Source organism: Homo sapiens, chromosome 17, assembly GCF_000001405.40.
Source record: "Homo sapiens chromosome 17, GRCh38.p14 Primary Assembly".
Classification (NCBI taxonomy): domain Eukaryota; kingdom Metazoa; phylum Chordata; class Mammalia; order Primates; family Hominidae; genus Homo; species Homo sapiens.
This window is the reverse complement of record NC_000017.11, coordinates 60,562,879-60,588,259: the sequence shown is the minus strand read 5'-3', so window position 1 is coordinate 60,588,259 and position 25,381 is coordinate 60,562,879. Positions and strand designations below refer to the sequence as shown.

At 44.3% G+C, this 25,381-nt stretch overlaps 1 long non-coding RNA gene and 1 pseudogene across 1 annotated transcript, besides 1 other annotated feature; one reads left to right on the top strand and one right to left on the bottom strand.

The window, feature by feature from the left end:
- Positions 1–1,639: 1,639 nt before the first annotated feature.
- Positions 1,640–23,714, bottom strand: LINC01999 (long intergenic non-protein coding RNA 1999). The gene is made up of 4 exons (NR_126009.1): positions 23,633–23,714; positions 22,821–22,927; positions 10,922–11,063; positions 1,640–1,952 (listed from the first exon to the last, which is right to left on the bottom strand). It is a non-coding gene; the product is annotated as a long intergenic non-protein coding RNA 1999 (long non-coding RNA).
- Positions 8,116–8,778: an enhancer, noted in NCBI's record as "NANOG hESC enhancer chr17:58656843-58657505 (GRCh37/hg19 assembly coordinates)". NCBI's record gives its function as "activates a minimal SCP1, AML or CMV promoter by ChIP-STARR-seq in naive and primed H9 embryonic stem cells {active_cell/tissue: H9 hESC(naive and primed)}" and the evidence as "EXISTENCE:reporter gene assay evidence [ECO:0000049][PMID:30033119]".
- RPSAP66 (ribosomal protein SA pseudogene 66) lies at positions 22,582–23,578 on the top strand (annotated as a pseudogene).
- Positions 23,715–25,381: the final 1,667 nt, after the last annotated feature.

The window sequence follows — 25,381 nt, the reverse complement described above, 5'->3', positions numbered from 1 at the left end:
AAATTAGCTAGGCATGGTGACACACACCTGTAGTCCCAGCTACTTGGGAGGCTGAGACAGGAGGATCATTTGAGCGTAGGAGTTGGAGGCTGCAGTGAACTATGATCTGCACTCCAGCCTGGGTGACATCAAGACCCTGTCTCAAAAAACAAAACAAAACAAAACAAAATAAAATGTTTTAAAGTTCTCAGAAAAAAAAAATAATTCTACAAGCTATAAGGGGAGGAGAACTGGAGAAAAAACTAAAGAACTTAGATAGTGGTGTGTTCAAAAGTAAGTTATCCTGTTCCTGGCCCTCTCCACATGCAAGGGCCCGTGAGGGGAGTCAACTGAATTCCTCCAGATGGTTTGGGGCTCAGTTGCAACAGAATATGTGCCTCATTTTCTTGGGCCAACCTGGGAAGGCAGGCACCAGTCTTTAAGCCTTACCTCTACCTTGCCCAGCATGGTGAGGTTGTAGGATAGTAGAAACTGTGCTCCTGGGATTTGGGAGATGCACCCAAGGAACATCATGGTCCTCACAGGGGCCAGGATGTCAAGAGAAGTAGCAGAAAAAGCTATCTCAGCAGATGCCAAAGCATAGGAACCGTGATTTATTAACATTTGCCCCTTTCACCCTTCAAATTAAGTAAAGCTCCATATATGGGACCCCCTGAATGGAATCAGCCCATCTGAATTATTTAAAAGAATGTTCAGGGCCGGGTGTGGTGGCTCACACCTGTAATCCTACCACTTTGGGAGGCTGAGGCAGGCGGATCACCTGAGGTTGGGAGTTCGAGACCACCCTAACCAACATGGAGAAAACCCGTCTCTACTAAAAATACAAAATTAGCCGGGTATTGTGGCACATGCCTGTAATCCCAGCTACTCGGGAGGCTGAGGCAGGAGAATCACTTGAACCCGGGAGGCAGAGGTTGCGGTGAGCCAGAGATAGCGCCATTGCACTCCTGCCTGGGCAGCAAGAGTGAAACTCCTTCTCAAAAATAAATAAATAAATAAATAAAATAAAATAAAATAAAAAGAATGCTCAGTTTATTGGCTAGGCTTGTTGGCTCACACCTGTAATTCCAACACTTTGGGAGGCGAAGGCGGGAGGATCACTTGAGCCTAGGAGTTCAAGACCAGCCTAGAGCTGGGCACAGTGGCCCACACCTGTAATCCCAGCTACTTGGGAGGCTGAGATGGGAGGATCACCTGAGCCTGGGAAGTTGAGGCTGCAGTGAGTCATGATGGTGCTACTGCACTCCAGCCTGGGCGACAGAGCAAGACTCTGTCTAAAAATAAAAATAAAAATAAAAAAAGACTGGCAATCTATGCCAAACCCCTCAATATAGTATAAGAAAAAAAAATGATTTGTTACACACATATAGGGATATCTCCTAGAACCAGAGGGCAGGAAGCCTACCTAAGCCTGATGAGGACCTTGGACAGGGACTTGTCAGGAAACAAGGCAATTGTTCTCTGCATCTTTCTAGGAGCATAAGGGTCTCCACCATACCTTTCACAGCAGAACAGCCTTTTGCTTGCTCATCAGCACAAATATTTACTGAGCACTTACCATGGACTAGAACTGCTCGAAACACTGGGAATAGAGAAGGGAATCAAACAGACAAAAAACATGTTCAAGTCTCTCAAGTCTACGTGTCCTATCAATTCCAAGGACTCATCATTTTTGTATTTTCTATTTTTCTATTCCAATTCTTCAAAGTGAGAAAGCAGAGGTCTTAAAACCCTGCTCCAAGTTTCCAGTTGGAGCTGTCCAGCCTCCTGACCTAGTGTCAGCAGAGGGCACAACTGAGCCTCAGGTGCAGTGAAAAGAGGTTTCTTGATCCCAGCCAGATCTCTTCTTAACTTCTATGTTCCAGGTGCCCCTCAGCTGTACAAAAAGAGTTGCTTCTGAGATTCCAGGTTGAGGCCTGGGAACTGGCAGTCATTGTGACAATGGTGAGATGCTAGCCTCCGTGTAAAATGTGGAAAAAGATAGAGGAAAAGTTAGTATCTACTGGGAAAAATAAATTAGAAAACCAAACTGCAAATAAAATGTCAATCTGAAGGGGACGGGCTGAGAGACAAAGAGGGAGAAGGAAATGGGACAACAGGAGATCAGATGAGTAAGTGAGTTTGAAAGGTGTATTAGCCAGGACTAAATCCAGAGGAAGGGCTGACATCAGAACTGGTTGATCCAGCTATGTCATCAGAAACCACCTCATTCTTCATCCAGAGCTATAAGATAGCTACCTGTGGCAATCAATACTACATGCTTCCCCATGTGACGGGAGAGAAAGAATAACATCCCATAGCTTTTTCTCAAATAAAGAACTTTCCTAGCAGGCCAGGTGTTATAGCTCTCACCTGTAATCCAAGCACTTTGAGAGGCCAAGGTAGGCGAATCACTTGAGGTCAGGAGTTTGAGACCAGCCTGACCAACATGGTGAAACCCCATCTCTACTAAAAATACAAAAATTAGCCGGGCGTGGTAGCACACACTTGTAATCCCAGCTATTCGGGAGGCTGAGGCAGGAGAATCACTTGAACCCGAGAGGTGGAGGCTGCAGTGTGCCGAGATCAAGCCACTACACTCCAGCCTGGGTAACAGAGCAAGACTCCATCTGAAAAAAAAAATAAAAGAGAGAGAACTTTCCTAGAAATTTTCAGCAAGGATGTCTTACTGTTTACCAGAACCAGGTCACATCTGATCTGATTGCTTTTAGACCCTTTCTTCTCACCATGGGCAATTTTTCCCCTGATGGGACATTCTGTAATATCTGGACACATTTTCGATTGTCACAACTTGAGGAGAGGAAATGCTACTAGTGTCTAGTGGGTAGAGGCCAAGGATGTTACTACTAAACATCCTTCAATGCACACACAGAAGGACACCCCCACCCCTGAGGCCTCCCCCTGCCACCCTCCCGCCCCCTGCAACAAAGAGTCAAGAGTGCTGAGACCGGGAAACTCTGTTTTAGATCAAGTAGGCCCACTCACTAGCCATACCCAGGCTAGGTGTAGGAGCAGGGGACACCAAAGAAAGATGATAATGAGTGGTCAGGGAGATAGAAGAAGATGGAAAGAATGTCTTATTCAAAAATCTAAGGAGACTTTTAAGAAGGCAAACATGGCCAATATCGTCAAATGCTGTAGAGAGGTCAAGTGAGTTTACAACTGAAAATCATCCAGTGGATTTATCCATAAGGGGTTTCTTGTTTCCCTCGCTCAAGAATTTCCAGTAGGGTGGCAGGGACAGGTCAGGCTGATAGGGATTGAGGAGTGAGTGAGGTGAAGAGAAAAAGACTCTGTTTACAGTATGGGTAAGTCATTTAAGAAGCTTGTCTGTGAATAGGAGAGAGAAGTAGCTAAAAAGTAAATAGAATAATGACATTTTTATTTTTTCATTAAAACTTTTTTTTTTTTTTTTTTTGAGATAGGATCTCACTCTGTCACCCAGGCTGAAGTGCAGTGGCTCGATCTCGGCTCACTGCAACCTCTGCCTCCTGCGCTCAAGCGATCCTCCCACCTCAGCCTGCTGAGTAGTTGGGACTACAGGCACACCCAACAACACCTGGCTAACGTTCTGTATTTTGGGTAGAGACGGAGTTTTACCATGTTGCCCAGGCTGGTCTCCAACTCTTGGGCTCAAGTGATCTGCCCGCCTCAACCTCTCAAAGTGCTGGGATTACAGGTGTGAACCACTGTGCCCACCCAGAATAATGATTTTTTAATATTAAAGAGACATACTCATTTTTAAAATGCTGACAGGAGCCAGGCGCAGTGGCTCATGCTTGTAATCTCAACACTTTGGGAGGCCGAGGCAGGTGGATCACCTGAGGTCAGGAGTTCGAGACTAGCCTGGCCAACATGATGAAACCCCCGTCTCTAGTAAAAACACAAAAAATTAGCCAGGCATGGTGGCACATGCCTATAATCCCAGCTACTTGGGAGGCTGAGACAGGAGAATCGCTTGAACCCAGGAGGTGGAGGTTGCAGTGAGCCAAGATCACGCCACTGCACTCCAGCCTGGGCAACAAGAGCAAAACTCCATCTCAAAAACATAAAAATTAAAAAAATGCTGACAGGAAAAATCCAAAACAGTAGAAAAAGTAAAAGAGAGAGGGAAAAATGAGAAATATCCCTGAGAAGAGATTATTATTTAGAGCAGAGCTTCTCAAACTTTAACATGCACATGAACCATCTGGGGATCCTGTAATCATCTGGAGGATCCTATTAAATGCAGATTCAGCTCCATTAGGTCTAGGGGGCATCCAAGAATCTACAGTTCTAATATGCTCTCAGGTGGTACCAAAGTTGCCACTCCATGGGCCACTTTGAATAATAAGGATTTAGAACAATTGTTCTCAAACTTCAGCATGCATCAGAATCACCTGATAGGCTGGTTAATCCAGAGAATGCTGGCCCCACTCCCAGAGTTTCTGATTCAGTAAGTCTGGGATGGGGCATAAGAATTAACTTTCTGTCAATCTTCAGGTGACCATTGATTTAGAGTATGTGTGGAGAAAATCATCTTAAAAGAGAGAGAATTTCACGACTGAGAAGAAAAGGAAAAAGCAAGAATTGACAGGGTTGCAGATAAGTTGTTGGTTTATGGGGCAGGGTAGGACCCTGAAGAATCCACTGCCCATTGGCCTGTATCTTCTCTGTGAAGTAGGAAATTGTCAGCTGAGAGCAAGGGGGAGGGCAATGGGAGAGGGAACTATGAACATTAGGTGAAGGCTTGTTGCTCTCCAGTTGCTCTCATAACACTATACAGAAAGTCTATTTGTGGATTGACTGATTGATTGATTGAGAGTCTTGCTGTGTTACCCAGGCTAAAGTGCAGTGGCATGATGGGAGCTCACAGTAGTCTCCAGCTTCTGGGCTCAAGCAATCCACTCACCTCAGCCTCCTGAGTAGGCCAGACTACAGCTGCTAGGCCACCATATCTGGCTAATTAAAAAAAAAAAAAAGATATAGATGGGGTCTTGCTATGTTGCCCAGGCTGGTCTGGAACTCTTGGCCAAATCCTCCCACTTCAGCCTCCTAAGTAGCTGGAATTATAGGTGCAAGCCACCTCACCCAGCTTGTTTTGTTATTTATTAAAGGAATATTTGCAATTAATTCATCCAGACAAGTTGACCAGGAAGTTATGTGGTGCAGTGAAAGAATTAAGATTGTTCTTTGGCTGACAACTAGAAACACCTGCTTGAAAATTCTCACAGTTATTGAATATGTGGTTTATTTTGTTTTGTTTGAGAAGGGATCTGACTATATTTTTCAGGCTGGCCTGGAACCCCCCAGGTTCAGGCAATCCTCCCACCTCAGCCTCCCACTATATAGGACACAGGTCACCACGCCTTGCTTAAGTGTTGTGATGTAGAAACTTAAGAATTCAATGACTTTAAGCAAACTGGCATAGAATTTATAAGGGAGATGGACTTCAGAACAAGAAGCTCTGGCTTCCACCGGGCATGGTGGCTCATGCCTGTAATCCCAGCACTTTGGGAATCTGAGGTGGGTGGATCACCTGACATCAGGAGTTCGAGACCAGCCTGGCCAACACAGTGAAACCCCCATCTCTACTAAAAATACAAAAAATCAGCCAGGCATGGTGGCAAGTGCCTGTAATCCCAGCTACTTGGGAGGCTGAGGCAGGAGAATCGCTTGAACCCAGGAGGAGGAGGTTGCAGTAAACCGAGGTCGTACCATTGCACTCCAGCCTGGGCAACAAGAATGAGACTCCATCTCAAAAAAAAAAAAAAAAAAAAAGAAGAAGCTCTGGCTTCTAATCCTCCTCACCACTTAACACTTTAAAACTTTAGGCAAATTAGTTAACTTCTCTTAGCTTGTTTCTCAATGGTAAAATGGGGACAGCAAAGGTACATAACTCACAGAGGGTTAAATGAGATAATGTAGTAAATGCTTCACCAAGAAGTCAATTTTTCTATTGAGTCACAGTTTCACAAAAGTCTTGGGAGGGAATTGGATTAAATCAACTTTTAAGCCATATCCAGGCCAGGTGCGGTGGCTCAGGCCTATAATCTCAGCACTTTGGGAGGCCAAGGCGGACGGATTACTTGAGGTCAGGAGTTTGAGACCAGCCTGGCCAACATGGTGAAACCCCATCTCTACTAAAAATACAAAAATTAGCCAGGCGTGGTGGCGCACACCTGTTTTCCCAGGTACTTGGGAGGCTGAGGCAGGAGAATCGCTTGAACCCAGGAAGCGGAGATTGCAGTAAGCCAAGATCACGACACTACACTCCAGTCTGGGCAACAGAGCTAGACTCTGTCTCAAATAAAAAAAGGCCACATCCATATTCATAATTCAAGATGACCATTTGTTTGAAGTTGCAAAAAGAATAATAATATTATTATTCCTATAACAGCTAACATTTATTGAGACTTTTCTGTGTGCATGGCATTATTTTAAGGACTTTACGTGTATAAATTCAGTTGATTCTTACAACACTTCCGAGAGGTGGGTGCTATTATTCTATTTTGTAGATGAGAAAACTGGCACCTGAAGAAAATAACTTGCTCAAGGTCACACAGAAAATAAATGATAGAGTTTAAACTGAGACAACGTAACTCCACGGCTATATTCACAACCACTTAACAGTATAGCCTCTTTAGGGCTCTGTTTAGTGAATTTTTTTTTGGCGGGGGGCAGGTGTTGAGGGGACAGAGTCTTGCTCTGTCGCCAGGGTAGAGTGCAGTGGTGCGATCTCAGCTCACTGCAACCTCCGCCTCCTGGGTTCAAGCAATTCCCCTGCCTCAGCCTCCTGAGTAGCTGGGGCTACAGGTGCATGCCACCACATCTGGCTAATTTTTTGTATTTTAGTACAGACAGGGTTTCACCCTGTTGGCCAGGATGGTCTCGATTTCCTGACATCGTGATCTGCCTGCCTCGGCCTCCCAAAGTGCTGGGATTACCGGCGTGAGCCACCATGCCCAGCCTGATACCTGTTTTTCTGTTTGGACTGGCTTGTGGTTCAGGTACAAGGCATAGCAGTGTGTGGTTCCCTTCCTGGCTGTTTTGTAAATTGAGGTGAGGGAAACTGCCCCATGGGGTCAGTTGCCCATAAGAATAAGGAAACTTCTCCCAGTGTTGAGATGATCTACCTGCTCTAATGAGATGTTCCAGTCAGGGTAGAACCTCACCACAGATTTTCCTGTTTTTATGGCCTCCTTTTCTCTCCTAAACTCTGTGCAATTACCTTCAAGTATTTTTGTCCTGCCCATGAAAAGAGATTCCAAGTAAAATGGCCCACAAATCTTCAAGAAACAGCTTTTTCTAGATCTTGAATCTGTGATTAGTAGTTATTAGCAGGGGTCTGTCAAGAGTTCCTGTTCTCAATTCTCATGATACTGCGCTATTCTCTTATTTTCTTACAAGTAGATATATACATGAGTTTTACCCTAGCATTCAGTCCTAGGTAACCATTATCTGGCAGAAATTCTTCTATCACTGGGGTATATTTCTCTCCCTTCCACTGTTTAATCAGTTGTGTGTGTCTGTGTGTGTATTTTTTATTTTTTTATCTTTATTTTTTTTGAGATGGGGTTTCATTCTGTTGCCCAGGCTGGAGTGCAGTGGCATGATCTCGGCTTATTTCAGCCTCAATCCCCCAGGCTCAAGTGATCCACCCCCCTCAGCCTCCTAAGCAGCTGTGACTACAGACATGTGCCACCACACCATATATATGTAGAGACAGGGTTTCGCCGTGTTACCCAGGCTGGTCTGAAACTCCTGTGCTCAAGCGATCCGCCCACCTGGGCCTCCTAAAGCACTGGAATTACAGGCATGTGGCACCATACCTAGCCCAATATGTATATTTTTATCACTGATGCTAATTTTCCTTTGATTATTATTATTATTATTTTGAGACAGGGTCTTGCTCTGTTGCCCAGGCTGCGGTGTAATGGCATGATATCAGCTCACTGCCACCTCCTCCTCCTGGGTTCAAGTGATTCTCCCACCTCAGCCTCCCTAGTAGCTGGGATCACAGGTGTGTGCCACCATGCCCAGCTAATTTTTGTATTTTTGATAGAGACGGGGTTTCAGCATGTTGCCGAGGCTGGTCTCAAGCTCCTGGCCTCAAGTGATCCGCCCACCTCAGTCTCCTAAAATGCTGGGATTACAGTCATGAGCCACCACGCCTGGCCCCTTTGATTATTTTAATCAGTTGTTTGGAGATAGAGGAGTAGGTGTCTATTTCTTCATCCACACTCAATCATTGTAGGATAATAAAAGCTCATTAAAGACAGAAAGTGTATATTCTGTCACACTACCATCTGAGACCCCAAAAAGGCACAGTTTGTGTCCCAGCAGTAAAGTCATGAATGACATGGGGACAATGTGAACTGATTCTCAGGGGGAGGGACTGAGAAGTCTGGAGAAATGGTATTATTGATTGGCTCCAGGTAAAACAATGAAATGCCAGGTGAAAGGTTTGAGTTAAGTAGGAAGAATTAGCACCTCATCTCAAATAGTCCACAGTGCTTTGCCTTTCCCCACAGGTGGTAATGATAGATAAAGAACACATCCTGGGCTCATGCCTGTAATCGCATCATTTGGGGAGGCCAAGGTGGGCAGATCACCTGAGGTCAGGAGTTTGAGACCAGCCTGGCCAACATGGTGAAACCCTGTTTCTACTAAAAATACAAAAATTAGGCGGGCATGGTAGCGAATGCCTGTAGTTCCAGCTACTCGGGAGGCTGAGGCAGGAGAATTGCTTGAACCCAGGAGGCGGAAGTTGCAGTGAGTCGAGATCACACCACTGCACTCCAGCCTGAGAAACAAAGATTTATTTATCTATAAATAAATAAATAAATAAGAACACATCCTGGATGATAAGAAAACACAACCAAGTTCAAGTTCTGCCTGGGCAACATAGCAAGAAGCTGTCTCTAAAACGAAAATAAACAGAACCAGAATAATCTATTTGGATTTGTTCCAGCAATTGCACAAGTTCTCCTGTGCAGAAAACATGACAGTACTCAAGTTATCTTCTTTTCTTTTCTTTTTTTCTCTTGCCCTTGTAAATCATCTAGTTATCTTTGGTTTAGGATGCTACTATCAGTAAACAGCCTTCTACCACACAGCCGGCTAGTGGGATGCTCTTTATAAAATATGTTCCATGAACCTCTGGGAGTTCCATTTTAAAAAAAAATACACCTTAAGGATAGCTGGGGTATTCCACATCAGAATCAGAATAAGCTTAAATCATATTGTTATGAAGATTCATAGTCTGGCCTTGAGCTTGATGAAAACAGGACAAACTTTAAAAACTTTCCCTGCAGAAATGTAGGAGACTTGAGAAGAACCATGTTTAAGAATGAGCGGCCGGGTGCGCTGGCCCATGCCTGTAATCCCAGCACTTTGGGAGGCCGAGACGGGCGGATCACAAGGTCAGGAAACCCCGTCTCTACTAAAAATACAAAAAATTAGCCGGGCATGGTGGCAGGCGCCTGTAGTCCCAGCTACTCGGGAGGCTGAGGCAGGAGAATGGCCTGAACCCGGGAGGTGGAGCTTGCAGTGAGCCGAGATCGCACCACTGCACTCCAGCCTGGGCGACACAGAGAGACTCTGTCTCAAAAAAATAAAAAAACGAAAGAAAAAGAAAAAAAAGAAGGAACGGCTGGGTGCGGTGGCTCACGCCTGTAATCCCAGCACTTTGGGAGGCCAAGGCGGGCGGATCACGATGTCAGCAGATTGAGACCATCCTGGCTAACACGGTGAAACCCCGTCTCTACTAAAAATACAAAAAAAATTAGCCGGACGTGGTGGCTGGCGCCTGTAGTCCCAGCTACTCGGGAGGCTGAGGCAGGAGAATGGCCTGAACCCGGGAGGTGGAGCTTACAATGAGCCAAGATCGCGCCACTGCACTCCAGCCTGGGCGACAGAGCAAGACTCCGTCTCAAAAAAAAAAAAAAAAAGAAAGAAAGAAAGAAAGAATGAGCTTGCCTGGCCTGGCACGGTGGCTCACGTCTGTAATCCCAGCACTTTGGGAGGCCGAGGCGGGTGGATCATCTGAGGTCTGGAGTTTGACAGCAGCCTGACTAATATGGTGAAACCCTGTCTCTACTAAAAAATACAAAAATTAGCCAGGTGTGGTGGCGTGTGCCTGTAGTCCCAGCTACTCGGGAGGCTGAGAGAGGAGAATTGGTTGAACCTGGGAGGTGGAAGTTGCAGTGAGCTGAGATCGCGCCACTGCACTCCAGCCTGGGTGGCACAGCGAGATTCCATCTCATTAAAAAAAAAAAAAAAGAAAAAGAAAAAGAAAAAAGAATGAGTTTGCCTGGAGATTAACTTCCAGAATAGTTCACCTTCGGTGAACTTGCTCTCCCACAAAAACAAAGAAAAATACTGGCAAAACCACTAAGGCCAACCATTTTAGAACTCTAGAAAGAGAAGCTGTTAAACTTTGCTAAGACAGTGTGATCTGTGATATTTTAACTTGTGGCTGGGATGCTATTCCCATCCACCCTCCCTCCTCAGCTCAGTAGAGGTAGCCGAGAGCAGCAGTCTCACAGCCAATGGCAAGGGCTGACCTCTTGTGGCGCTCAGTTAAAAGAAAGATCCCCAGAGTACAGCCAATATTTAGTTCAAAATTGCAGCTCTCTGGAAAATCTCTATTCCTAGGGAGTTGTAATTACTTGATGACTTAGAACTCAGCTCATCAGAAAAAATGCCCGACTCCCAAGGCATTAACAAAACAAGAGCCATCTGCTAGCAATGTTGAGGCTAAGACTGTAATTTCAATTGGGGTAAGCAAGAGACAGGCTGGGAATCTAAAAGTACGTCCTGGAGAACTAGACAATATAGGGAACTAGAAAAGGGAACTAGACATAGGGAACTTCGAAAAGTTCCAGCATATTTCAGGGGATCTAAAAGGCTGCATGCATGCACAAGGCTGTGCACTTACCCAGGAGAGAGATGGGAATGAAGAAGTTTCCAGTCACTCGCTTCTGGCTGACCTTAAGGCTCTGTAGCAAGCAGAAAACGAAAGCTAAGGCTGTCTTGTAAACTGCCTGAAGTATGAAGGCATGCCTTCTCACACAGATTCCCTTGGCAAAGAAGAGAGGACAGAAAGACAAAGCATTAAAGGGCATTAAAGGAATTCTTCTGACTGATCATTGGTTGATCACTAAATTTTATTGACCCAGGGATCACACCTAGGAATTCTGGCTTATAATTTTTTTTTTTTTAAAGCTAGCAGAGAACTCAATTGCCACACAATGCAGAGAATACAGAATCTACAGAATTATTTGAAGAAAGTCACCAGAGAAGCAGCAACAACAACAAAAAAAACAACCACCACCACCACCTCTGGAAAGTATGCCACATATGCAGGACAAAAAGCAGCAAACAGAAAATGTCATCCGGGCACGGTGGCTCATGCCTGTAATCCCAGCACTTTGGGAGGCCGAGGCGGGCGGATCACCTGAGGTCAGGAGTTCAAGACCAGCCTGGCCAACATGGTGAAACCCCGTCTCTACTAAAAATACAAAAATTAGCCAGGCGTGGTGGCAGGCACCTGTAATCCCAGCTACTCGGGAGGCTGAGGCAGGAGAATCACTTGAACCCAGGAGGCGGAGGTTGCAGTGAGCCGAGATCACGCCATTGCACTCCAGCCTGGGGTACAAGAGCAAGACTTTGTCTCAAAAAAAAAAAAAAAAAAAAGAATAAGAAAATGTCCCTGGGTGCGTCCAGATTTTGACTTTAGCAGACAAAGACTTTAAATCAGCTATTATAAATATGTTCAAAGAACTAAAGGAAAGTAAGTCTAAAGAGCTAAAGGAGAGGGCCGGGCACAATGGCTCATGCCTATAATCCCAGCACTTTGGGAGGCTGAGGCCGGTGGATCACCTGAGGCTGGGAGTTCGAGACCAGCCTGACCAACATGGAGAAACCCCATCTCTACTAAAAATACAAAATTAGCTGGGTGTGGTGGTGCGTGCCTGTAATCCCAGCTACTCAGGAGGCTGAGGCAGGAGAATCGCTTGAACCAGGGAGGCAGAGGTTATGGTGAGCTGAGATCACACCATTGTACTCCAGCCTGGGCAACAAGAGTGAAACTCCATCTCAAAAAAAAAAAAAAAAAAAGAACTAAAGGAGAGTATGACAAAAATCTCGCCAACAGAGGATATCAATAAAGGATAGAAATTAGCTCAAAATAGAAATTTTGGAGTTGAAACGTGTAAGAACTGAAATGAAAAATTAACTAGAGGTGCTCAACAGTGGATTTGAATTGACAAAGAATGACCAAACCTGGGGCTGGGTGCAGTGGCTCACGCCGGTAATTCCAGTGTTTTGGGAGGCTGAGGAGGGAGGATTGCTAAAGGCCAGGAGCTTAAGACCAGCCTGGGGAACATAGTGAGACCCCATCTCTACAAAAAATTTAAAAATTAGCTATGCATGGTGGCATATGCCTGTAGTCCTGGCTACTCAGGAGGCTGAGGCAGGAGGATCACTTGAGCCCACAGGTTTGAAGCTGCAGTGAGCTAAGATTGTGCCACTGCACTCCAGCCTGGGAGACAGAGTGAGACCTCATCTTGAAAACAAACACACAAAAGCAGCTTGGTGTGGTGGCTCACACCTGTAATCCCAGCACTTTGGGAGGCCAAGGCAGGAGGATCACTTGAGCCCAGGAGTTCAAGATTAGCCTGGGCAATATGGTGAGACCCCATCTCTAAAAATAAAAATAAAAATTAGCTGGGCATGATGGCCGAGGTGGGAGGCTGAGCTAGGAAGATCACTCAAACCCAGGAGTTTGAGGCTGTAGTGGGCCATGATTGTGCCACTGTACTCATCCTGAGTGACAGAGCAAGATCCTGTCTCAGGTTTGTCTTCAGCAAATCTCAAGACAAGTCCACTGAGAGCCAATCTGGGGGACAGCAAGAAAATAAGAATAAAGGCCTTAGAGAATTGTGGGAAACCTGCAAGTGTACCAAAATACAAACAATAAGAGTTCCAGAAGGAGAGGAGAGAGAGAAAAGGGTGGAAATAATATTCGAAGAAATAATGACTGAAAACTTGTCGAATTTGAAGAAAGCACAATACATTCAAGAGTGCAATGAACATCAAGTGGAATAAACTAAAAAACCTTAGCTAGACACATTACAGTCAAATTGCCTCTGCTAGCTTCTGGTGGATGCTAGCCCACCTTGGCTTGTGGCCACATCCCTCCAGTCTCCACCTCCAAGGTCACATTGCCTTTTCCTCTTCTGTCTGTGTTAAATCTCCTTCTGCTTTCCTCTTACAAAGATACATGTGATTTTATTTAGGAGCCCCCTAGATAATGCAAGATAATATGCCCATCTCAAGATCTTTAACTTAATAACATCTGCAAAGTTCTTTTTTTCCCCATATAAGATAACATTCACAGGTTCCAGGGATTAGGATGTAAATATTTTATTTTAGGGAGGATCATTATTCAGCCTACCACACTTACTATTAATCTGAACTACACATATATTTTTGTACTTTCTGAGTTTTATACCTCATACAGGCATAACATATTCAAAATATATTTGAGAGGGAGAGAGAAGAATGGGGAAAGAGGGAGGGGAGAAGAAAAAAGATGATGGGTAGGAAACTTCTTTAAAGTCATGTATCCTCTTCCTCATGCAGGGACAGTTTCTCAACTCTGGGAAGCACTGTTTTGTTTTGTTTTTTTTTTTTTTTTTTTTTTTTGAGACAGAGTCTCACTCTTGTCGCCCAGGCTGGAGGGCAATGGGGCGATCTCGGCTCACCACAGCCTCTGCCTCACGGGTTCAAGCAATTCTCCTGCCTCAGCCTCCCGAGTAGCTGGGATAACAGCCGCCTGCCACCATACCTGGCTAATTTTTTGTATTTTTAGTAGAGATGGGGTTTTGCCATGTTGGCCAGTCTGGTCTCGAACTCCTGATCCCAGGTGATCCGCCCACTTTGGCCTCCCAAAGTGCTGGGATTACAGGTGTAAGCCACCACGCCTGGGCTGGGAAGCACTTTTGATTCTGTGATAAGGAGGCAAAGTATTTCAAAGCTGGATTCTGGGAATGGCCTACCTTAGTCTTATATCTATTCTATTTTTCATAGTTACTTTTTTTTTTTATTTAAGGAAATGACAATCCTTATTTAGATCTTATCAGTTTTTTTACTAATATCTTTTTTCTGTTCCGGGATCCAATCCAGGATCCCACATTGTATTTAGTTGTCATGTCTCCTTATGTTACTGACCATGGGTTCTTGGGCTCTCAATGCAAAAGAAATTGACATGAGGCCAAAAGAGCTTTCCCAGACAAGGCTTCATTGGAGCTTATGCTGAGACATAAGGGAGGCAGCACAAAAGAAAGAATTCCCTGAAGAGCTGGTAGGGCTTTTTTGGTAGGCAAAGCATGAGAATTGACATCAAGGGTAGGGTATGCAGGCTGGGCTGGACAAAACACGTGATGGGTAGGGTATGCAGGTCAGCATATCTGATTGTGATGGTTTTCTTGAGTAATGGGCCAGCTGGTGGTCTGGCCAGGGCAACCAGGCTGTAAATCAGTTGTTCAGCATTCCTTCCTGAGGGGGAACACTCTGTGACCTTGATTATCTCCAAGGCCAGTTCCTGGAATTCTTTAAGTAAAAGGACTATTAGCAGTGACGTAGTTGTGTGAGCATTTCAGTGGGAATGCTCTAGTTGGGGGTGAGCTGAATGAAGCCAAGCCCCAACTCTACTTTGTCTCACTTGGACTCCTACAATCTGTGACAAACTTAGACTTTGTAAAAACAAAACAAAAAATCCCACATCTGTGACAAATTTAGACCTTGCCAAAGAGGTAAAGAGGCCATTGGATAAGGTAATGCAAGCCTAACCAAGTACTGAAGGTGAAACAAATTCTTCAGTGGGGAGCTAAATTTTAAGCTCCTCATAAGGCAAATGGAATGTTCATAGAGATTTTCCTTCAGAGGTTTCTACTTAGATCATTCTTTGGAATGCTCTATTCCAACCCTTTGATATATGTAGAGGGAGAGGCTAGGCTGCCCTTTCCCAGACACTGGTGAGCTGAGCAGTCTCTGTTAAAAATCTGTATTTATTTTTGCACACAAGTCCAAGAAAACATTATCAATTCTTTACAGGCAAAAGGAGATTTATTGGGTTTATTATTATTACTTTTTGAGACAGAGTCTCACTCTATAATCCAGGGTGGAGTGCAGTGGCACGATCTTAGCTTATGGCAACCTCTGCCTCCTGGGCTCAAGAGATCCTCCTACCTCTGCCTCCCCAGTAGCTGGAACCAAAGGCATATGCCACCATCCCCAGCTTATTTTTTAATTTTTATTTTTTGTAGAGACAGGGTTTTGCCATGTTGCCCAGGTTGGTCTCAAACTCCTGGGCTCAAGCGATCTGCCTACTTGGCCTCCCAAAGTGCTGGGATTACAGGCATGAGCCACCATGCCTGGCCCAGGAGATTTATTAATCAGCAAATGTATGTTGAGTACCTACTTGTACTTGGATCTTAGGTTTTGAGGAGGAAATAGGTGATCAATAAATTAACCAGATAAATTTATACCGGCTATGAAGAAAAAAAACAAAGTAATATGTTACGGTGTTGGGAGTGTGTATATGGTGGCTACTTTTGGTGATCAAGGTTGTTTTCTTTGAGAAAGTGACAGTTGAATTGAGATTTGAATGACAAGATGCTGCCAGTCATGTGAAGCCACAGAAAGAAAGTGTTCCAGGCAGAAGGAACAACTCCTCCACACACCCTAAGACAGGAATAGGCTGGTTTGTTTGAGAAACAGAAAGAAGGCCAGTGTGGCAACAGCATATTAAGCATAGAGAGATAAAAAATGGGAATAGATGTCACCCCACTTAACCAAATAAAACATCGGGAGTGAATAAGTATACTCTTCTTTTTACTTTTTTTGAGATGGAGTCTCACTCTACTGCCCAGACTGGAGTGCAGTGGTATGATCTCGGCTTACTGCAACCTCCTCCTCCCAAGTTCAAGCAATTCTGGCTCAGCCTCTCGAGTAGCTGGGATGACAGGTACCCACCACCATGCCCAGCTAATTTTTGTATTTTTAGTAGAGACAGGTTTTCACCATGTTGGCCAAGCTTGTCTCAAACTCCTGACCTCAAGTGATCTGCCCACCTCAGCCTCCCAAAGTGCTGGGATTACAGGCATGAGCCACCGCACTTGGCCCAGAATAAGTATACTCTTCTTAACTTACTAAGAGCAAAAATGGACTTCAGAATGCTTTCTCACTTGTCTCCTAGTGAACACAGATTGGGTTCCCTTCAAAGCAGAGGCTGAGACAAGGAATTGAATTAAGGTAGTTTATTTGGAAAGTGATCACAGGAGAGATGGAGGACAGTAAAACAGAGGAGCAAAAGATCATATAAAGGTAATTATCCAGGTTGCGACTGTGGAGATCAGGAGCTCCAGTCAGCCAGGGCCTCCAAGAATGATTCTTCCAAAGGAAAGGAGGCTGGATCATCACCTATTCCTGTCCCCCTCTGCCTGAGGGTTACCCTGGACTGCACTTGTCCATGGGTCTAGCAGGTTCCTGTGGCACTGAAGAATGTCCTGGGCATTGAACAAGATGCACACAGGTACTCATGGACACCATTAGTGCTAGGTGCATCTGAACTTGTATGGAACTATTCAGCACAGCTGTGTCTAAAAGCAGAGACATACGGAGGGGACATTATATAAGACCCTAGGGGGTCTGCCATAGGTGCCTCTCATGATTTTTGAAACTTTCTCATCCAAAAAATTATTCACCCCATAATTTCTAATAGGTGTTTATTTGTGTCCCTTCCTGTAGCTGAAATTGAAATGTGAAATTGCTAGTGGGCAGAGAGGAGGAAATGAACCATTTCCCAAACCCAGGACGGAGCAACACAAAGGAAGAAACAGAAAAGGGCTGTAATGGGCTGCTGTGTGACTCAGGAAAGGTGGAGTCACAGATAATTTGAAGTTCCAAGTACTCTCAAAAGTTTCAGCAATTTTTCTGTCTAAACTCAGAAACTGGATCTCAGTTTTGCCCTGACATTTCTCAAAAGAAGATTTCAGGGATCTTATCTGAAAGTACTCCATATTTGAAAGAAAGGAATGCCTCCTATCTTTGTTTAAAATATTTCCAGAGTTTTAAATTACTACTCTTAGGGGTGGGGAGAAACAGTCATGATTTATATGTTTTTTTTCAAACAATAAAGTACCTATTGAATTCTCATATTATGTTTGGAATTTTAGTTTAGCGATTTTCCTGCTGAGTGTAAACTATTCTATGCAGTTGGAGAGGGGACATACTAATTACTAACTTCCCATCATTGCCCAGCACATGAACCTTTGTTCCATATACTTTCCCCAAATATTTTGCCATTACAATAGCTAGCAACTTGGATGTCATAACAACATGAATTGGAACAACCAACATTTTCTTCTTGATGTTAATTCTTTTGTATTTTTTTTTCAGACAGAGTCTTGCTCTGTTGCCCAGGCTGGAGTGCAGTGGCGCAATCTTGGCTCACTGCAATCTCCTCCTCCCTGGTTCAAGTGATCCTCCTGCCTCAGCCTCCTGAGTAGCTGAAATTACAGGCATGAACCATCATGCTCGGCTAATTTTTGTATTTTTAGTGGAGATGGGGTTTCACCATGTTGGCCAGATTGGTCTTGAACTCCTGACCTCAAGTGATCCGCCCACCTCAGCCTCCCAAAGTGCTGGGATTACAGGTGTGAGCCACCGTGCCTGCCCCCAATATTTTCTTTTGAATTATTATGTCATGATTAATTTGGAGGGAAGCAGAAAAGACAGGATAAAAGTCTTCACAGGGCAGGACACGGTGGCTCATGCCTGTAATCCCAGCACTTTGGGAGGCCAAGGCAGGTGGATCGCCTGAGGTCGGGAGTTCGAGACCAGCCTGACCAACATGGAGAAACCCTGTCTATACTAAAAATACAAGATTAGCCGGGCGTGGTGGTGCATGCCTGTAATCCCAGCTACTCTGGAGGCTGAAGCAGGAGAATCACTTGAACCCAGGAGGCAGAGGTTGCAGTGAGCCGAGATCGTGCCATTGCACTCCAGCCTGGGCAACAAGAGCAAAACTCCATTTCAAAAAAAAAAAAAGAAAGAAAGAAAAAGAAAGAAAGAAAGAAAGAAAGAAAGAAAGAAAGAAAGAAAGAAAGAAAGAAAGAAAGAAAGAAAGAAAAAGAAAAGTCATCACAGGCCATTTGGCTGGTTTGTGTGCTGAAGTGGACCCAGCTGGAGGGTTTGCTAAATCCCTGGGCTCACTCTCGTGATTATCCCATGACTGGTTGTTATCATGAAAACCTTACTAGCTCTGTCCACTAGGTGGCATTTTCAAAATAGAACGTATAAAATTATTTTGCAAGATCTGCTTTTGCCAAATTAGAGAATGATTCAAAGTTATAAGGTTGATGTCTAGTTTCAGAGAGGGTGCATCCTTTAGGAAGAAACTAGACCCGTAAGGACTCTCATCACTAGATGAGAAAGGTAGTATATTACATATTGCCAGGATGTAAGAGAGATTTCTGTTGCCAGCCCTCTGTTAGCTGCAGAGAATCAGATGTCGTCTGGGCTCATGTGCGACTTTTAATACAAATTTGGCAGAGGGTAGAATAGAGGTTTATTAGGATGCGAGGGAGAAAAGGGAGGGGCCTGTTATGAAGAAAGGCTGTGAACATAGAAGTCTAAAGGACACATGAAGAAAACTTTTCTCAGCTATAATAGTCCTGAACATTTTTCTTTTTCCTTTTTTTAGATGGAGGCTCACTCTGTCACCCAGACTGGAGTGCAGTGGCACAGTCTCGGCTCATTGCAACCTCCGCCTTCCAGGTTCAAGCGATTATCCTGCCCCAGCCTCCCGAGTAGCTGGGATTACTGGCACGTGCCACCACACTGACTGATTTTTGTATTTTTAGTAGAGACAGGGTTTCACCATGTTGGCCAGGCTGGTCTCAAACTCCTGACCTCAGGTGATCCACCCACCTCAGCCTCCCAAAGTGCTGGAATTACAGGCGTGAACTACTGTGCCCGGCCAAAAATATTCTTAAGAAATAGGGAGGATGTCTGGGACCCGAAAGGATTTTGTAAACTAGCAGTTAGTGATTTCAGAAACTGCTGGATCTCCCTCAGAGAAGGCCCAAGTTCAGGAAAATGTTGAAAGATACCCTCTGAAAGCAGCAAATGAAGAGCAGGGCTGGGACTAGCGCAAGGCAAGTGAGGAACCGGTCGTGCACAGATGCTCACCCACAGTGTCCTCCAAGTGCAGGTATATGGAAAATAGAACTTTTTAATCAGGAGCAGTGGCTCACACCTGTAATCTCAGCACTTTGGGAGGCCAAGAGAGGATCACTTGAGCCCAGGAGTTCAAGACCAGCCTGGGCAACATAGTGAGAGACCCCATCTCTACAAAAAAATTCAAAAATTAGTGAGGTGTTGTGGTGTGGGCCTGTGGTCCCAGCTGCTTGGGAGGCTGAGGTGGGAGGATCACTTGAGCCCAGAAGGTCAAGGTCACAGTGAGCTGAGCTGGCGCCACTGCATTACAGGCTGGGTGACACAGCAAGACCTGTCTCAAAAAAAAAAAAAAAAAGAAAAGAAAAGTTATATTTAATTTTGTTAATTAATTTGGTTTTTTGAAATGAGGGTCTCTTTCTGTCACCCAGGTTGTACAGTGGCATGATCAAAGTTCACTGCATCCTTAACCTCCTGGGCTCAAGTGATCCTCCCACATCAGCGTGCCAAGCAGCTGGGGGACCACTGGTATGTGCCACCATGTCTGGCTAATTTTTGTATTTTTTGGGAGAGACAGAGGTCTCACTATATTGCCCAGGCTGGTCTTGAACTTCTGGCCTCAAATGATCCTCCTTTCTTGGCCTCCCAAAGTGCTAGGATTACAGACATGAGCCACCATGCCCAGCCAAATAGAACTTTCCTACAGTTCAATCTTAATTTATGACCTTGAGTCCCCATCCTGCCTGAAGCAGAAAACAATCTTATTAATCTAAGGCAAACTAAATCAAATTCAATTATATCTCAATTCATGTTTAAAATACCTTAGTTTACGTTTCTTTCTACTTGATCTTTCTTCCTTTTGGAGTTAATACTCCTGGGAAGGGGGGTAAAAATGCTACCAGGGTGGTTGTAAGAGTGAGCAGAGGTTGTGACATTCTCAGTCTCTACCTATCTGGTCATCTCTGCTGACTGATTTTATCTTCTTTCTTAATATTTTTTGCTTTATGAGACAGAAACTGCTTTTGAACTTACAAAACAAAATTTACTGACTTTCATTTCTGACATTCCACAGTGATGTCCCCACCTGCCTCAGCCTCCCAAAGTGCTGGGATTACAGGCATGAGCCACTGCATCCAGCCCTCTCAGTAATTTCATCTCTAGGAGTTTATCTTAACAATAACACATAGGTGCACAAAGATGTAAAGAAGGTGGCAATATTATTAATAATATTAAAAATTAAATAAGTTGTGTCCATTAGGAGGAGATGGATTAAATTGTGGTACATCCATTATAATACTGTTAAGATTCTTCTGACTATAATCTGAGCGTGGTGGAGCATGCCTATAGTCCCAGCTACTTGGGAGGCTGAGGCAGGAGGATCACTTTAGCCCAAGGAGTTTGAGGCCAGCCTGGGCAACATAACAAGACCTCATCTCTAAAATAAAATAAAAAATTATTATTATTATTTTAAGCAAAAGAAACAGACTGGGTAGTTTTGGGGAAAATGAAAATATGTATTTCATGAAAAGGAAGAAAAAGCTGAAGAATTATTGTGCAGAAATGGATGGAATCAAGGCAGTTTCAGAGAAGATTGAAGGAGTTGTCCTATTTGTATAATTATTATTATTATTAAGACATAGTTTTACCCTGTCACCTATGCTGGACTGGAGTGGCATGATCTTGGCTCACTACAACCTCCGCCTCCTGGGTTCAAGCGATTCTTGTGCCTCAGCTACCCAAGTAGCTAGGACTACAGGCACCTGCCACCATACCCAGCTAATTTTTGTATTTTTAGTAGAGATGGGGTTTCACCGTGTTGGTCAGGCTGATCTCAAACTCCTGATCTCAGGAGATCCACCCTCCTCAGCCTCCCAAAGTGCTGGGATTACAAGCGTGAGTCACCGCACCAGGCCTATTCACATAATTCTGTATTCTGCGTGTGTATGTGTGTTTAACAAGAAGGACACATTATAATATTTAAAACTTTAGTAATGATTTTTTTTTACAATGGCTAGCATGAATAACGTAATCTTAGGGCAGCAATTTAGATTTATCAGGCTCAGTTTTACTATTTGTATAGATCTTCAAGTGACTCTTTCCAAATTCTCCTAGATGTGGTCTATTAGTTATCTGTTACTGCATAGCAAATTACCACAAAATTTGATGGCTTAAAACAACAAACGTTTCTTATTTCATAGTATCTGTGGGTCATAAATTGGGAAGGGGCTTAGCAGGGTGGTTCTGACTTAGGGTTTGTTTGTCATGAGGTACAATTTAGATATTGACTGGGGCTTCAATCTCTTAAGACTTGACTGGGGCTAGAGAATCCACCTTCAGGATGGCTCACTCACATGATGACTGTTAGCAGGAGGCCTCAGTTTCTTGTTGGCTCTTGGCTGAAGGCCTCAGTTCCTCACTACAAGTACCTCTCCATAGGGCTGCTTGAATGTCTTCACACCATAGCAGCTAGTGACTGATCCAAGAGACAGCAAGGCAAAAGCCACAAAGTCTTTCTATACACTAGCCTTTGAAGGGACATACCATTACTGTTGCAATTTTCTACTAGTCACACAGAGCAAATCTGGTACAATATGAGGGGACTACAAAAGGGTAAACACCAGGAGGCAGGGATCACTGGAGGTCATCTTGGAGGCTGCTGTATGGCAGATGTGCCTAACAGAAATAATTTAAGCATACCCGGAGAATGACCCTATGGCCTAAGAAGAATGTGTGTTCGGACGGCCCAGGGCAGTGGCTCATGCCTGTAATCCCAGCACTTTGGGATGCCAAGGCGGGTGGATCACCTGAGGTCAGGAGTTCGAGACCAGCCTGCCCAACATGGTGAAACCCCATCTCTACTAAAAATATAAAAATTAGACCAGGAGCGGTGGCTCATGCCTGTAATCCCAGCACTTTGGGAGGCCAAGGTGGGCAGATCACGAGGTCAAGAGATCGAGACCATCCTGGCCAACATGGTGAAACCCTGTCTCTACTAAAAATACAAAAATTAGCCGAGCATGGTGGTGCACACCTGTAGTCCCAGCTACTTGGGAAGCTGAGGCAGGAGAATCGCTTGAACCTGGGAGGCAGAGGTTGCAGTGAGCCAAGACCACACCACTGCACTCTAGCCTGGCAACAGAACGAGACAGCGTCTCAAAAAAATAAATAAATAAAAATAAATAAATAAATAAAAATTAGCCAGGCATTTTGGTGCGTGTCTGTAATCCCAGCTATTCAGGAGGCTGAGGCAGCAGAATCGCTTGAACCGAGGAGGTGGAGATTGTAGTGAACTGCACTCCAGTCTCCATCTCAAAAAAAAGAAGAATGCGTGTTCGGAACTCTGAGCTAAAGAATCTCTGGGAGTTCAATTGCTGGTCGGTTCACTCCTGGAACCTTCACTAACCAGATCCAGGAAACCTTCTGGGAGCCACAGCTTCTGGTGGTTATTGATTCCAACAATCCAACAACGACCACCGGCCTGTCACAGAGGCAACTTATGTTAATCTTATCTACCATCGCTCTGTGCAACACAGATTCTCCTTTGCGCTATGGGGACATTGCCATCCCATGCAACAACAAAGGAGCTTACTTACGGGTTTGATATGGTGGATGCTGGTTTGGGAACTTCTGTGCATGCATGGCACCATCTCCTGTGAACACTCATGGGAGCTCAGGCCTGATCTCTACTTTTATAGAGATCCTAAAGAGGTTGAAAAGGAAGGCCAGGTGTGGTGATTCACGCCTGTAATCCCATCACTTTGGGAGACCAAGGTGGGTGAATCACTGAGGTCAGGAGTTCAAGACCAGCCTGGCCAACATGGTGAAACCCGGTCTTTACTAAAAATACAAAAATTAGCTGGCATGGTGGCACGTGCCTGTAGTCCCAGCTACTTGGGACACTGAGGCAGGCGAATCACTTGAACCCAGAAGGTGGAGGTTGCAGTGAGCTGAGACAGCACCACTGCACTGCAGCTTGGGCAACAGAGTGAGACTCTGTCTCAAAAAAATATATATATATAATAAGATAAAAAAAGATGAAAAGGAAGAGCAAGCTGTTGCTGAAAAAAAGCTGTGACCAAGGAGGAATTTCAGGGTAAATGGACTGCTCCAGCTCCTGAGTTCACTGCTCCTCTGCCTGAGGGTGCAGACTGATCTGAATGTGGCAGGTGCCCTCTGTGCCTATTCAGCAATTCCTTACTGAAGATTGGAGAGCTCAGCCTGCCATGGAAGTCTGGTCTGCAGCTCCCACTGCTCAGGCCACTTGAATGGGTAGGAACAACCACCAAGTTGTCTTACAGGCTCATAAGCCACATGGAAATAAGGTTGACCGAAAATAAACATGTTTCTTAAAAAAAAAAAAAAAAAAGGAACCTGGGAGTTGCCAATCAGGAGATTCATTCCTTACCTATGAGGAACATAGGAATCCCCATCTCATCCCATGGAATGCAGGCCATACAGGGGATCAAGGCCCTTTGTTTTGGGTTAAATCAAGGTTGCCAGGTGGAGGTTGCTAGGGTGAGAATGCTAAGTGAAAACACTATATAACCAGTATACTTTTTTTTTTTTTTTTGAGATGGAGTCTTGCTCTGTTGCCCAGGCTGGAGTGCAGTGGCACGATCTCAGCTCACTGAAACCTCCGCCTCCCAGGTTCAAGCAATTCTCCTGCTTCAGCCTCCCAAGTAGCTGGGATTACAGGCACGCACCACCGTGCCCAGCTAATTTTTTGAATTTTTAATAGAGACAGGGTTTCACCATGATGGCCAAGCTGGTTTCGAACTCCTGACCTCAAGTGATCCACCTGCCTTGGCCTCCCAAAGTGCTAGGAGTACAGATGTGAGCCACCGCGCCCAGCCAGTATGTTTTTTGTAAGCAAATGCAGTTCTCCTGTCCAGCCTGCCACCACTGGATTGCCCTGTATGTAAGTCTCCTCAATAAACCCTATGTCTCAGCCTGGGAAACATTGTGAGGACCCATCTCTATAATTTTTTTTTTTTTAATTAGCCAGAACTAATGCCTGTAGTCCCAGCTACTCAGGAGTCTGAGGCAGGAGGATTGCTTGTGTCCAGGTGGTTGAGACTGCAGTGAGTCATGATTACACCACTGTATTCCAGCCTGGGTGACAGAGCGAGACCCTGTCTCAAAAAGTAAATAAATTAATTAAACAAACCCTGTGTCTCATTCACTGGCTCTGCATCTCGTCTTCAGCCTCTCAAACATGGTGCCATTGCTGTTGAAGTCAATAGGGGTCCAGCATGACAGCTGCCTACCAACATAAAATTTTGGTTGCCTCTAGGAAAGGGAGATAGATGGTTTGTGCCTGGCAGGAAAGGAAGATTTTCACTGTGTATGTTTTTGTACTTTTTGAATTTTGAACCCTGTTAAATGTACTTAGCAAAGAAAAACCAGTTCCCCATAATTTAGACTGCTGATTGTGACATTTAACATGTTATCAGAATCACCTGAAAGGCTTGTTAAACCACAGGTTGCTGAGCCCAACTATCAGAGTTTCTGATTCAGTAGGTCTGGGGTGGAGCCTGAGAATTTGTATTTCTAACAAGTTTTAGGGTGATGCTTATCCTGCTGCTCCAGGGACCACATTTTGGGAACCACTGACTTAGACCTGCTTGTCCAATATGGTAGCCACATGTGACTATTAAGAACTTCAAATGTGTCTAGTTCAAATTAAGATGTGCTGTAAGTGTAAAACATACACTGGATTTCAAAGACAGTACAGAAAAAGAATGCAAAATATCTCTTTAATAATTTTATATTGATTTATGTTTGAAAATGTTTTAGATATATTGGGTTAACAAAAATATGTTATTAAAAATAATTTCACCTTGGAAGAGGAGGAAGTGAAAAAAAGAAAAAAATTCACCTGTTTCTTTTTACTTGCTAATTGCTAGAAAATTTCAACTTATATGGCTCATATTATATTTCTGTTGGACAGTGCAGACTTAGACAATTCTTTCTTCTCTCCTGTTTCTGTGCTGTTTAACAACAGGATTTCACTACAAGACTAATAAATCTGATAAGCTGATAGTCTAAATTATTGATAGGTGATGATAACGTAATAGGTTTAACCTGTTTTCATTTTAACAACAATAGCTAATGTCCATGTATAAAAGAGTATCTACTAGGGAGAATTTTCTGA